This window comes from Homo sapiens, chromosome 12 (genome assembly GCF_000001405.40).
Source record: "Homo sapiens chromosome 12, GRCh38.p14 Primary Assembly".
In the NCBI taxonomy this organism is placed as follows: Eukaryota; Metazoa; Chordata; class Mammalia; order Primates; family Hominidae; genus Homo; species Homo sapiens.
This window is the reverse complement of record NC_000012.12, coordinates 8,358,814-8,373,378: the sequence shown is the minus strand read 5'-3', so window position 1 is coordinate 8,373,378 and position 14,565 is coordinate 8,358,814. Positions and strand designations below refer to the sequence as shown.

The 14,565-nt window shown below is 43.1% G+C and overlaps 1 long non-coding RNA gene and 2 pseudogenes across 1 annotated transcript in view; 2 read left to right on the top strand and 1 right to left on the bottom strand.

Moving 5' to 3' along the window:
- LINC00937 (long intergenic non-protein coding RNA 937) overlaps positions 1-14,565 on the top strand; it is a 33,790-nt gene that overhangs the window by 17,374 nt on the left and 1,851 nt on the right. The gene's annotated exons all lie outside the window — the stretch shown is intronic.
- Positions 3,782-14,396, bottom strand: LOC101927966 (40S ribosomal protein S24-like; annotated as a pseudogene).
- On the top strand, positions 13,521-14,369 carry RPS3AP43 (RPS3A pseudogene 43; annotated as a pseudogene).

The following is a 14,565-nucleotide window of genomic DNA, read 5'->3' as shown; positions in this document are numbered from 1 at the left end:
CAGGTGATTCTCATGCAGCCAGCCTGGCTCTGGCACTGAGTTCTTGGACACTTCTGGAGGCGCATTTACTAGTGAGGAAGGTCACTGTGTGCTGAAGGCATGCTTCATCTTCCATTCCTTTCTTCCATGAAGCAAGGCGCATGGGTCGACTGAGCTGGGAGAGTCCACGGTGTCAGCCTCCCCCACGCTTCCCTCCCTGCTTATTCCTTGTGTGCTGTACTTTGTCTTGATTTTCTGTACTCTGCAACAAGCCAGGAGATGGTAAGATCTCAAAAAAATCATTTTTTTGGGAAATGGGATCAAGAGGGTTTTTGTTTGCTTGTTTGTTTGTTTGAGACAGGGTCTGTAGCCCAGGCTGGAGTGCAGTGGCGTGACCTTGGCTCACTGCAGCCTTGACCTTCTGGGCTCAGGTGATCCTCCCACCTCAGCCTCCTGAGTAGCTGGGACTGCAGGTGCACACCACCATGCCTGACTAATTTGTCTATTTTCTGTAGAGATGAGGTTTCACCATGTTGCCTAGGCTGGTCTCAAACTCCTGGGCTCAAGCTGTCCTCCATCCACCTCGGCCTCCCAAAGTGCTGGGATTACAGGCATGAGCTGCTGTGCCTGGCCAAGGTTTTTTTTTGTTATTATTATGAAAAATTGTCAATATGCATAAAAGTAGAGAGACTAGTTTAATGAGCTATCATATACCCATCACATAGGTTTAAAAACTATTAACGTTTGCAATATTTACTCCATTTCTTTTTCTGAAGTATTTAAAAAATAGTTTACAGTAGTTATGTGATTGCATCCTGATATTCACCCTTATGTAATTTACTTCCCTCTAAAAACATGAGGGCATTTTTTATATGATCATTATCATACCTAATCAAATTACCAGTAATTCCTTAATATCCTCTAAGATCAAGTTTACATTCAGATGTCTTGTCCTCAGAATGTCAATTGTGATTATTTTTTTCTTTGAGCAAAGATAATAAGATCTCAAGATTTAATGACAGAGATTCCACGTTAGCCCTGATGTCTAAGCTCTGTGGTCCATTGTGGCTTTACTTGAAAGTCTCAGGCTAGGCGTGGTGGCTTACAGCTGTAATCCCAGCACTTTGGGAGGTCAAAGTAGGTGGATCATGAGGTCAAGAGATCAAGACCATCCTGACCAACATGGTGAAACCCTGTCTCTATTAAAAATACCAAAATTAGCCAGGCATGGTGGCGGGCGCCTATAGTCACAGCTACTCAGGAGGCTGAGGCAGGATAATCGCTTGAACCCGGGAGGCACAAGTTGAAGTGAGCTGAGATTGCACCGCTGCATTGCAGCCTGGGTTGCAAGAACGAGACTCTGGAAAAAAAAAAAAAGTCTCTCACTGTGGTCTCATAATGAAAGGACACTCCATTTCCCATCTGGCCCCTGCTCCTTAATGTTAGCCCCCTGCTGTGGGGAGGAGGGGGTGACCTTCAGCGCAGGTTCAAGCATTCCCAGGGCTGGCTCTGATCCCGATAAAGCCCATCGTCATGAATGAATGCCTCCTTTGCAGGTTATTCTAAGTATTGTAAATAGTGCACATGGAGCGTCCTCATGATGCCTGGGATGGTAGTGAATATTTATAGGTTTCTTTTAGTGCCTTTTTTTTTTTTTAGCGTTTTCCATAGTTCCATGTTTCTACAAGGCATAGGAACATCAGAATCATGTGTGTGTGGGTGCTTATTAAATAAACCAATTCCTGGAGCTCACTCCCAGTGACTCCCAGTCTGATGATTAGGGGCTCAGTTAGGACCTATGTTTGCAAAAGCTCCCAGGTGATCTCATGCAGCCAGCCTGGCTCTGGCTCTGGCTCTGGCTCTGGGAGCTGGGTTGGGAACTAGTCTTTGGTGCTATTCTGCTGAAACTTCAAGTTGGGCTCTTTGACTCCGTCTTGTATTGTCACCATTTGTATTCAGGTCTGTTTTCCCCCTGGATTGTAAACTCCCTGATGTCTGGGTCATCTCAGCTCATGAGCTGAGCTTTCAGTGGGTGCTCAGTGGAACAGGTGCTGAATGGAGTCAGGCTTTAGGGAGGCCAGCGTGTGTTGGTAAGTGAGAGGCAAAAATCATTTTAAAAAGAATCTTTTTGCCCTTCAGTTGTGTTTGCCATGAGTTAATGTGACTTACTCTAGTGGAAGCCAGTGCAGCTTAAGAGGAGGTCTTGTCCTGAAATGGAGCCAGGTTATGGATCAGCAGAGCTGCCAAAAGCGTTTTGGGGGAAATGTTTCTGTGTCACTCTCAGTTGATTGAACTCAAGTTTTCACTCCCATTTAACACCACGTGGGGGCCATTCTGACTTCTGCAGAGTGGGTATGATCAGATCTTCTGTAAAAGTGTAAGTGAGGAGGCTGGGCACGGTGGCTCACATCTGTAATCTTAGCACTTGGAGGGCTGAGGTGGTCAGATCACTGGAGGACAGGAGTTTGAGACCAGCCTGGCCAATGTGGTGAAACCCTGTCTGTACTAAAAATACAAAAATTAGCCAGGCATGATAGCACATGCCTGTAATCCCAGCTACTCAGGAGGCTGAGGCAGGAGAATCGCTTGAACCTGGGAGGTGGAGGTTGCAGTGAGCTGAGGTTGCACCAATGCACTGCACTCCAGCCTGGGTGACAGAGCGTGACTCTGTCTCAAAAAAAAAAAAAAAAGTGTATGTGAGGAAACTGGGATAGAGCTTGGGGATGTTGGGGAATGGAGGTACTTCATCTACTGAACAAAAACCATGGGATACCAATGCTGGAGGAAGAAGTATCATCCTCAGTTTCTACTAACTCAACCACGCATGAGATGGGGACTTGATGTCCAAGAGAAGAGCCTCTTTTTAGGTCTTCAGCCTTGATCAAACCATATCTGAATTCCTCATACACATATAATCAGGTGCTATGAGTGGTACTGATTGGATAATCTTTCTGTCTTTTCCTGTGCTAGGAAGGAAAATACCCGTACAGCCAACTTCCTTGAGGGTTCGTTCTTTTGCATCAGGGTGTCTCAAACTCCTGCCCTTAAAACACCTGCAAGAGAATCATCTAGGTGGCTTGCTCGCTCTGCATGCAGACCCTTTAGAATCAGAGTCAGAATACCTGGGGCTGGAGCCACAAAATGAAATGACATTTCAACAAGTTTGTCATCACGTAAGAGAGAATAGGTGAGTATTTGGACACCTATAATACAAAGTAGATTCAAAAAGAATGACTTGATTATTTTAAATGTTTTGTTTTAAAAAATTTAATACAGAAAAGGTTGGGCACGGGGGCTCATGCCTGTAATCCTAGCACTTTCAGAGGCCAAGGCGGGTGGATCATTTGAGGTCAGGAGTTCAAGACCAGCCTGGCCAACAAGGTGAAACCCCACCTCTACTAAAAATATAAAAATTAGCCAGGCGGTAGTGGTGCGCGCCTGTAATCCCAGCTACAGGGGAGGCTGAGGCAGGAGAATTGCTTAAGCCTGGGAGGCGGAGGTTTGGTGAGCTGAGATCGTACCACTGCACTCCAATGTGGGTGACAATTGTTTAACCACCACCAAAATGGGTTTTGAGTCCAAATATTAATATGAAGGACATTGGTGACATTGTCTCAAAAAAATTAATGAATACAGAAAAGTACAAAAAGGGAGAGAAATCACCCCAAATCTCACGACCCCAAGAAATAAACCTCCTAATATTAAGTGAACAGCATTCCTTGCTATGCACAAAGATGGCCTGAGACATGAACAGACACTTCTGATCACACAAAATGAGATTTTGAAAACAAGAAGTAGCAAATTGAATGCCGTGTAAATTTATCAGAAGAAAAAGAAATGGAAATGAAACTGAAGGAACTGGTCAACTCAGATAAATGTAGTTTTTTTCTCACTAAAAATCAGTTTCTAGAACATCTAGGAAATCAAAGATGATGAAAAATATTAAGATGTTTTATATATATGTAAAAGTCTTTACAGCTGATTGATCATCTCATGCAAAATTTGTACAGTCACTGCAAATAAAGTCATTGCAAAATCTTTACTCCTTTTGCTTTTTGCCAGCACTGACATTGGCCTTTGCAGTCTCTTGACTTCATTCTGCCCTTGCATTCCTTTTGCTGTTTTCTCGAGGTCGTTTTCTTCTCATGTCAGCTGTGTCTTGCAAGTCTATGTTTGAGTTCATTTTTCTTTGCATAATTCAAAGAACCAGATAGCATGCCAAAGCCCATTGTTTAACCACCACCAACATGGGTTCTGAGTCCAACTATTAATATGAAGATGACACCTATTATGATCTTGTACATTTTGTTGCATTTCCGTGGTGAAGGACATTGGTGACCATTTGTTTCCTCTGGAGCGGTCGATTGGTCATGAACTTCCTGGTCCAGATAGTTACCGTGTCATTCATCGTGGTGATCCTTAGGTAGTTACGGAGGAAAATAAACAAGAAATTATATGTTTAAAACCACGTTTCAATTTTAGACCTGATTAATTGACTTAATAAGGGGCATTTGTACTTCTGCTTCCTACAGTCCCTCCCTTTACCTCTGGAAACTAGTTATTTCTGGGTTGTTTCATGTTGTTAAGGTTGACCACCTTTCTTTCTGTTCTGCAATCATAGTCCTGTTTTTAAATGGATTCACCTCTCATCACTAACCTTTTGTCATGGTCATTCAATTCACAAGTTGCTTATTTTTTAATTTCTTGGCTGACTAAATTTTATTATGAAGGCTTTTTTTTAAAGAGCTCAGAAATACTGTATTCTTTAAGTTCTTGAACATGTGATAGTATCTTTTGCCTATTTTGATTGGGCAATAATTTAGCTGGCTATAAAATTCTTGGATTATACTCTATTTCCCTTAGAAATTATAGGCACCCATCCACTGACATTTCATTGTGCTTTCTTTTTTTTTTTTTTTGAGATGGAGTCTCACTCTGTCACCCAGGCTGGAGTGCAGTGGCGCCATCTCAGCTCACTGCAAGCTCTGCCTCCCGGGTTCACGCCATTCTCCTGCCTCAGCCTCCTGAGTAGCTGGGACTACAGGCACGTGCCACCAAGCCTGGCTAATTTTTTGTATTTTTAGTAGAGACGGGGTTTCACCATGTTAGCCAGGATGGTCTCGATCTCCTGACCTTGTGATCCACCATCCTTTGCCTCCCAAAGTGCTGGGATTACAGGTGTGAGCCACCGTATTAGCCCAGCCTCATTGTGCTTTCTACTAACCCCCTTTCCCTGGCCTCTTCCATCTTGTCTTCTTCTCTCCCAGTAGTTTCTTCATGAAGAGGCCATGTGCTATATTCCATGAGATATTTCACACTCAAAGAAGACTTCTTTTATACTCTTTTGATAATTTGGGAATCACTGCCTTGATTTGTAAGGGAGTTTGTAATAAATACAGTAAAAGAGAAACACACAACGTATTTTGAGACATCAGCGAAGGGAGAAACCAATTCTATTAATATTTGGGGTTAGCAGGGAAGGCTTAGTTAAGAGGTGACATTTGAACTAAGCCTTGAAATAAGGGAAGGATTTGGACATGCAGTAATGGGGAGAGTGTAGAAGCAAGACATGATGGTTAGTGTTATGTATGAATTTGACTGGGTTGTGGGTGCCCAGATATTTGGCTACACATTATTCTGGGTGGGTCTCTGAGGTATTCTGGATGAGGATAACATTTAATTGGTAGACTGAATAAAGCAGATTGTCCTCCCCAATGTGGGTGAGCCTCATCCAATCCACTGAAGGCCTGAACAAAACAAAAAGGTAGAGTCACAGAGAATTTGCTCTCTTTACCTGATTATATTTGAGTTGGGACAGCAATCTTCTCCTGACTTTAGATGTGGACTCGAGTTGGAACTATATCATTGGGAGTCCTGGGTCTCCAGCTTGCTGGCTGCAGACTCCAGGACTCCTTAGCCTCCATAACCATGTGAGCCATCCCTTACAACTAATCAATCTGCGTCTCTCTGTGTGTATAGCTCTACCTCTATCTCTTTGCTCTTTGGAGAACCTAGAGTAATACACAAGGTTATATTAGAGAAGACAATGACCCAAGGAAAAGCATGGAGGCAGAAAAGTGTGAAGAGGGTTTGGGAAGACTGGGGTCCTGATGGGGAGTTTGGATTTCACTGTGTGTAGCATGGAGAATCCTTGAAAATATTCAAGAGGTGAAATTGTATCTGTGGAAGAATACCAGGAGTATGTGAAAAGAAAAACACTCACTCCATTTTAACTCCACTGAAGGGGGCATCAGAGGGATGCACTGGGGACATGGGTTGGAGGGTAGTTGAGGCCATATCTGGAGGATCTTTACTTCTAGGCTGAGTCTGAAGTTCTCTTTCTGGGGAGTGAGAGATCATTACAAATCTTTGAGCTCCACTCAAGAGATGGTTTTGCTAACAATGGCAGGGTGACGGTGGTGGTGGTGGTGGTGGTGGTGGTGGGAAGCTGGTAGCATGAATTCTAATTGGGCTTCTGTTATTCCAGCCGAGGAAGTTGGGGAATGGACTTTCAGTAGAATAATACAGATCTGGGAATCAACTACATGGAGGAGGTAGTTATAGGTGATGAGATGTCTCAGGGACAAAGTTTGGTAGAAGGAGAAAAGATACTAGGCTGGTACAAAAATAATTGCTGTTTTTGCCATTACTTTTAACAGCAAAATCCACAATTACTTTTGCACCAACCTAATAGGATGCAAACTGGAGCCATCTGCATCAGAGGGTTTGATGAAGATCAACAAAGTTTGGGAACACAGGAAAGGAGCGGGGAGGGTAATGACTTGAGGGCATAACAGGGATGATCAAGGTTTTTCTTGTTAGCATGTGGAGACTTAAGCATGATTATATGTTAAACACCTGTCACATACATGGTACAAAATATGAGTGAAATGATGAGTGAAGGTGGTGAGTCATGGCAGTTCCAAGGGAACGGGTGATAAAGGGAGGTCTCAGATGAGGCACAAGTGGAGAAGGTAGCTTGGGAAAGGATAAGGATGCTTCTCCTTATAAGATGGGAAAGGCAGAGGAAGAGGGTCAAGATACAGTTATCTAGAGGTGAGATGGAAGTGAGTTGAGAGAACTCAACTCTGGGCTCTGAAACCCCTAGGGATGGGTTTGGGGGCTTTGAGATATGGAAGAGGTTTAAAGTCAATTGTTATAGCAAATATGGTTTTGAATTTATTTGTGATGCTTAAAAATACTGCTGAACAGAAATGAAGTCTACCCTAGAGTTGGATGGTGAGATTATTTAGTGGAACTACCAGATCCATGTTGTGATTCTTTCCAGTATCATTCAGCAGCCCTTGGGCAGTTGCGAGGCAAGTCATCAATGGGGTATGGAGATTTTCCAGGTGGGTGTGGTTGAAAGCAGGGAAGAACGCCTTTAGGAGCACATTACAAGAAGGTGACTGTAAGGTCCAGGCTGAGCAGGAAGGTAAAGCAAGAAGGAAACATGAGGTTGTGAAGAGAAGTTTAGAGGGATGAGGCGGCAGGAGAGGTGAACAGTTGCAGGATGTAGCTAGAGTGGTGATGTTATATCTTGGGGCCAGAGAGCTTTACAGTGATGATGAAGATCAAAGGGCATTAGAATCAAGCTATAAAGAGCCACTGTTTGATGTTGGGATGTGAGGATGCTGCAGGTGGATGTCTGTGCATTGATGGTGAGAACGTGGTCACCCTGGCCCTGCTGGGTCTTTGCTAAGGAGACTGTGCTCTGTTCTTAGGGCCGTTTTCATCACCTGATTAGAGCAGTGGTCCTCAAATGGTGTTCTTTGGACCATCTGTATGAAATGTTCATAGGTCAAGGATAAAATGGAAAAACAGAGACAATGTCACAGAAATGTGCCCATTGTTGAAAGACCACGAGCTGTCCTTTTTGGAGGATTGTTCTTTATTCTAAAAATGTATCTATTCTATTCTATTAAAACATTTTTGTATTTACATTTTTTTCTCTTATGAAATGCCATTGGGTAGAAATTTGTAATGTATCCAATTCTCCTGTCTCCATGCATTGCAGTGTGGTGGGGGAGGGGATGTGGCAAGTACTGGCCAACAGGCTGGGGGCAGAGGTGCAGTGTGAGACTTCTAGCCTGGAGCATTTAATTCTTAGTACAAGACTCTCTAGCATTCTTCTCCCTCTGTTCCCTGCTTGGTGATACTCGAGGTAATGCAACCCCCATTAGCCTTAGTCTTAGGGCAAGTTTGATGGAAAACAGAGCACCCCACACTTCCCTGCAGATGTAGCACGAGTGAGAAAAACAACTTCTGATGTTTGAATTTACCAAGATTTAGGAGTTGCTTGTTATTGCAGCAAAACCTCACCTCTTCTGACCAATCATGGTGGAATTTCTGTGTGTGTGTGTATGTGTCTGTGTGTGTGTGTGTGTGTGTGTGTGTGTGTGAAACTGGTAGTTTAAAAAAGTTCCTTCTTACCAAAGAGAAAAAAAAGTAGCAACCTTATGTTGGTTCTCAAATTAATAAAATATTTTTACTGGTTTATAAAATAGAAAAATCTGAGAATCTGTAGCTTAGAGAACTACAGTGTGGGATGTCTATAAAGACCAGGTTATTTTATCAGCTCCTAACACCCCTTAATAGAAGCTTAGCCAAGACTTGGACTATTTCAGTCTTTCCCATTCCACATTCCATGGACTCTCGAAGAGACATTGATGAAACGGTGCAGCCATGAACCACCCTCACTCTATCCTAGTGGCAGAATCCCCCTTTTACTGCAGAATGAGCTTCTTGCTACAGTGATACTTGAACCCCTTAGATATATCCTGTACTAATTATATTAAAACATGACCAATGCTTTTGCTTTGTTGTCCCCCAAATTAAACACCTTAATCATGAGAACCCAGAGAATTGGATTTAGTGTGACTGATTCCAAACTGTCAGTAAGAACACAATTAGATTATATTTTTCTCCAGTTCAAATAAAAGAAAATTGACAATAAAATGCTGATCAATATGTGTAGCTCAGGAGGTAGAGCCTGCTTTGAGATGCAGAAGTGTTTGGTTTTTTTAGATCTATATTCTTGAGTAAAGAAAAAATCCATCTCTCTCTCCTAGAGGGGAAGACTTTCAGAGTTGGGCTTGGCAACAGCCTGCCAGAGGCTGAATTAAACAAATAGGTACCTCCCTTGAGTGAATGGTGTGTTTCTCCTGTTCGGGGAACCGTGCTTTTATGGTGGAGTTTGCTTTCTGCCTTGGTCTCTGGATGTGTGTATCTGTGGGTGGATGTCTGCATGTAAATGGCAGTGTATACCCGTGTGAGTGTGTACAAAATTCCCATGTGAATCTCAGCTTTGCGGGGATCTCCGGGTCTTGAGCCCAGCAGATGCCAGTTGAAGAAAAATCACTTGAAAATGAGACAGAAAGGATGGAAACTAAATCCTAGCTCTAAAGGCACCAGGCTGACCAAAAAAAAAAAAAAATCTCTGGATTTTCTTTGTTTTGGACTCTACCTGCCTCCAAATAACATTTCTATTTCCTATGCAATGATCAGAATGAAAGAGATCCTCAGCACGAAAGAGCAGATACTGTGTGATTCTGTGTATGTCATGGTTTCAGCTGTGACACTGCTGACATTTTGGCTCAGCAATTTCTCTGTTGTATATGTGGGGGTTCCCTGTGTATTTTAGGATGTTGAACGGCATCCCTGGATCCCTGGAGTCACTGGATGCAGGAACACAACTCCCCCCAAGTAGAGACAACCCCCAGTGTCTCCAGATATTGCCTAATGTCCCCAGGGGGCAAAATAGCCCCCATCTGAGAACTGCTGCTTTCATAAAGTACAATGTCAGGTGAAATAGGTGGAGGCTGTTTGTAGTCAGGGGTTAGTAGAGATGGAAGAGATGCCAGGAATATCCTGGAAGGGGCTGTAATGCTCTGTTTCTTGAATTGGGTGTCGCTAATATGGAAATGTTCTGTTTTTTTTTTTGTTATTTTTTTTTTTTTTGGGCAGAATCTTGCTCTGTCACCCAGGCTGGATCACAGTGGCACCGTCATGGCTCACTGCAGCCTCTGCCTCCTGGGCTCAAGCAGGCCTCCCACCTCAGCCCTCCCGAACAGCTGGAACTACAGGCATGTGCCACCACTGTTGCCTAATTTTTTATTTATTTATTTTTTGTAGAAAGGGGGGTCTCACTATGTTGCCCAGGCTGGTCTCAAGCTCCTGGGCTCAAGCAATCTGCTCACCTCGGCCTCCCAAAGTGCTGGGATGACAGGCATGAGCCACTGTGCCTGGCCAGTATGTTCAGTTTGTAAGAAAAGTACTGTGTTGACCTCTTCTATGTGCACATTTCTTTAAGTAATAATTCAATAAAGCATTTAGAAAAATTGGTCATAATAGGAGTGATCTGTAGAGTGATTGGCATGAAAGCTGATCATCTTAATTTTAACTACTCTGAAATGAGCACCAGGGACCACCAAGAAGCGCCTTTCAAGGTGTCACAGCCAAGGATAGGAGTGTGTTGTGTACATCTCTGCATAAAGGATTTGCTGGTTACATGGAAGGATGAAGCCTCCTTCTGAGGACAGAGGCAGCAAAGCAAGTGGAAGCCCAAAGCATTGAGCTTTCTAAATGGACTTTGCTAAAATCTTGTGGATGACTCATGCTCTTAACATACACCCATGTACATATTGTCCATATAAACATTAATTCTGTAACAAGGCCCACACATAAGGGTTTTTTTTTTTTTCTTTTGAGACAGTCTTGCTTTATTGCCCAGGCTAGAGTACAGTGGCATAATCTTGACTCATTGCAACCTCCGCCTCCTGGGTTGAAGCAATGCTTGTGCCTCAGCCCCCCGAGTAGCTGGGACTACAGGTGCACAACACCATGCCTGGCTAATTTTTGTATTTTTAGTAGAGACGGGGTTTCACCACGTTGGCCAGGCTGGTCTCAAACTCCTGGCCTCAAGTGATCTGCCCACCTCAGCCTCCTAAAGTGTTGGGATTACAGGTGTGAGCCACTGCGCCTGGGCCCACACATAAGGTTTGAGTTGAGATAGAGAAACTCTGGCAAGACTGAGGAATTGGGCCACAGTCTCTGGGAAATATGCACAATTTCTGGAATCTTCTCTACTTCCAGAGTTCCCACTTTCTATCTGTCTCCTGTTTATTCAACAAACTTGTATGGAACCACAGTGTGTCTAGAACTTGCCAGGTGTGGAGAATAAAAAGATGATTGAGGTCAGGCATGGTAGCTCATGCCTGTAATCCCAGCACTTTGGGAGCGCAAGGCAGGCAGATCACTTGAGGTCAGGAGTTTGAGGACAGCCTGGCCAACATGATGAAACATCTCTACTAAAAATACAAAAATTAGCCAGGCATGGTGTCATGCACATGTAGTCCTAGCTCCTTGGGAAGCTGAGGCAGGAGAATCGCTTGAACCCAGGAGGCAGATGTTGCAGTGAGCTGAGATCACCCCGCTGCATTCCAGCCTGGGAGACAGAGCGAGATTCCATGTCAAAAAAAAAAGATGACTGAGATACAGACTCCATCAGAGTTGACTCTAACACAAATTAGGTAAGAGCCCAAGGTCTGGCTGGGCAAGCAGCTTGATCAGCCTCATCCTGCAGCCTCTATTAGAATGAACACTTTTTTCTTTACTCATGAAATGTTTTGTGTTTTCACAAATTGCAAGTGCAATTTGTGTTAATTCTGCAAAATTTGCCGCATAACTCTGCCTGTATTCTTAGCATTTTTCCTTTGAGAGATTTCTCAGCACATCATCTTTGGACTATGTGGAATTGGAAATTTACTTGGAGTCAATAACAAGTACAGGAAAGTCAGTTCTTAGTCAAGAGTTAGGTTTTCACAGACAGTGGATAAAATAAAAAATAGTACAGTCAAGATTATATGTGTAAATCCCCTCATTCATAAAGTTTAGCAGTCAGTCTTACCGTGGCTCACCAGGTCCAATCCACACTTCTTCCTCCACGATTAGAGCAGAGGGTAATTTTTTTTTATGAGCAACTGATGAAGTCATTTAGAGACCATTTGCAGTAGGAGCCCTGTGTACTAGAGACCAATCAATGTGCCCTCATGGCTCCATTTCTGCCTCTCTCCCTCTTTGTTCTTGCCAAGTACCCATAGTTCATTTTCCATAGATTAAAAGAGCCCAAGCTGGGCCTATACCTAGGAGTACAATTGCTGGGTCATTTGGTAACTCTGTGTAGAATTGTTTGGGAAGTTGTCAAACTGTTTCTCACAGTGGCTACACCATTTTATTTCCTACCAGCAGTGTATGAAGTTTCTAGTTTCTCTGCATCCTCACCAACACTTGTTATTTTCTGTATTTTATTTATTTATTTTTTTGAGACGAAGCCTTGCTCTGTCACCCAAGCTGGAGTGCAGTGGCACAATCTTGGCTCACTGCAACCTCTGCCTCCCAGATTCAAGTTACTCTCCTGCCTCAGCCTCCCGAGTAGCTGGGATTATAGGCACCCACCACCATGCCTGGCTAATTTTTGTATTTTTTTAGTAGAGACAGGATTTCACCATGTTGGCCAGGCTGGTCTCAAACTTCTGGCCTCAGGTGATCCACCTGCCTCGGTCTCCCAAAGTGCTGGGATTACAGGCATGAGCTACTGCACCAGGCCAATTTTCTGGATCTTCGATTGTAGCCATCCTTATGGGTATGAAGTGATATCTCACTGTGGTTTTGATTTCTGTTTCCCTGATGATGAATTTCATTGAGCATCTTTTCATGTGCTTATTGGCCACTTGTATGTCTTCCTTGGAGATGTGCCATATTTTCATATTCAAAAATGAAAGCACAGGTCCACACAAAAATTTGTACATGAATAATTGCAGTAGCATCACTCCTAATAACCCAGAGAGGGAATTAATCCAAACGCCCATCACCAGATGAAGAGGTACAACGAATGTTGTCTACCCACATGGTGGAATATTATTCGATCACAAAAAGGAGCAAAGTACATATGCTACAGCGTGGATGAACCTTCAAAGCAGATGAAAGATCACATTCTACATGATTTCATTCAGATGGAAATCTATAGAAATAGGAAGTCGATTAGTGGTTGCTTAGGGCTGGTAGGAGCATGAGAGGATAGGAGGTGTTAGCTAAAGGGTATGAGGTTTCTTTTTGAGGTCATGAAATGTTCTAAAATTGACTGGTAATGTTTTTGTATATCTCTGAATATATTAAAAACCATTGAAATGTAAAAAATGCAAAGAAAAAACAGCCCAAGTTGCAATTTTATTCAACACTTGATTGGCTTTAAAACTAGATTCCAGGCTGGGCACGGTGGCTCACATCTGAAATCCCAGTGCTTTGGGAGGCTGTGGTGGGAGGATTGCTTGAGGCCAGGAGTTCCAGGCCAGCCTTGGCAACATGGCAAGACTCTGTGTCTACAAAAAAGAAAAAATAAATATCAGCTGTGTGCAGTGGCTCACACCTGTAATCCCAGCACTTTGGGAGGCTGAGGCGGGCAGATCATCTGACATCAGGAGTTCAAGGCCAGCCTGGACAATATGGTGAGACCCCGTCTCTACCAAAAATATAAAATTTAGCCTTTTCGTACTCTGAGCAGCACCATGGTGTTTGTTAAGAACAAGTGCCTTATGAAAGGTGGCAAAAAGGGAGTTAAGAAGAAAGTAGTTGATCCATTTTCTAAGAAAGATAAGTATGATGTGAAAGCACCTCCTATGTCCAATATAAGAAATATTGGAAAGACTTGGTCACCAGGACCCAAGGAACCCAAATTGCATCTGATGGTCCCAAGGGTCTTGTGTTTGAAGTGAGTCTTGCTGATTTGCAGAATGATGAAGTTGCATTTAGAAAATTCAAGCTGATTACTGAAGATGTTCAGGGCAAAAACTGCCTGACTAACTTCTATGGCATGGGTCTTACCTGTGACAAAATATGTTCCATGGCTGAAAAATGTTCAACAATGATTGACGCTCATGTTGATGTCAAGACTACGATGGTTACTTCTTTCATCTTGTTTTGTGTTGGTTTTACTAAAAAACGCAACAATCAGATACGGAAGACCTCTTATGCTCAGGACCAACAGTCTGCCAAATCCAGAAGAAAATGATGGAAATCATGACCTGAGAGGTGCAGACAAATGACTTGAAAGAAGTGGTCAATAAACTGATTCCAGACAACATTGGAAAAGATGTAGAAAAGGCTTGCCAATTTATCCTCTCCATGATGTCTTCATTAGAAAAGAAAAAATGCTGGAGAACCCTGGGTTTGAAAGGCATGGAGCTTCGTGGTGATGGTAGTAGTTCTGGAAAACCCACTAGGGATGAGACACATGCTAAAGTTGAATGAGCTGATGGATATGAACCACCAGTCCAAGAATCTGTTTAAAGTTCAGACTTATAATAGTGGCAAATAAAAAGTTCTATTTGTGAAAAACAAACAATAAACAACATTGAAAAAAGCAAAATTAGCCTGGTGTGGTGGTGCATGCCTGTAATCCTAGCTACTCAGGAGGCTGAGGCATGAGAATCACTTGAACCTGGAGACAGAAGTTGCAGTGAGCCAAGACTGCACCATTTCACTCCAGCCTGGGCAACAGAGTGAGACTCTCTCCAAAAAGAAAAAAGA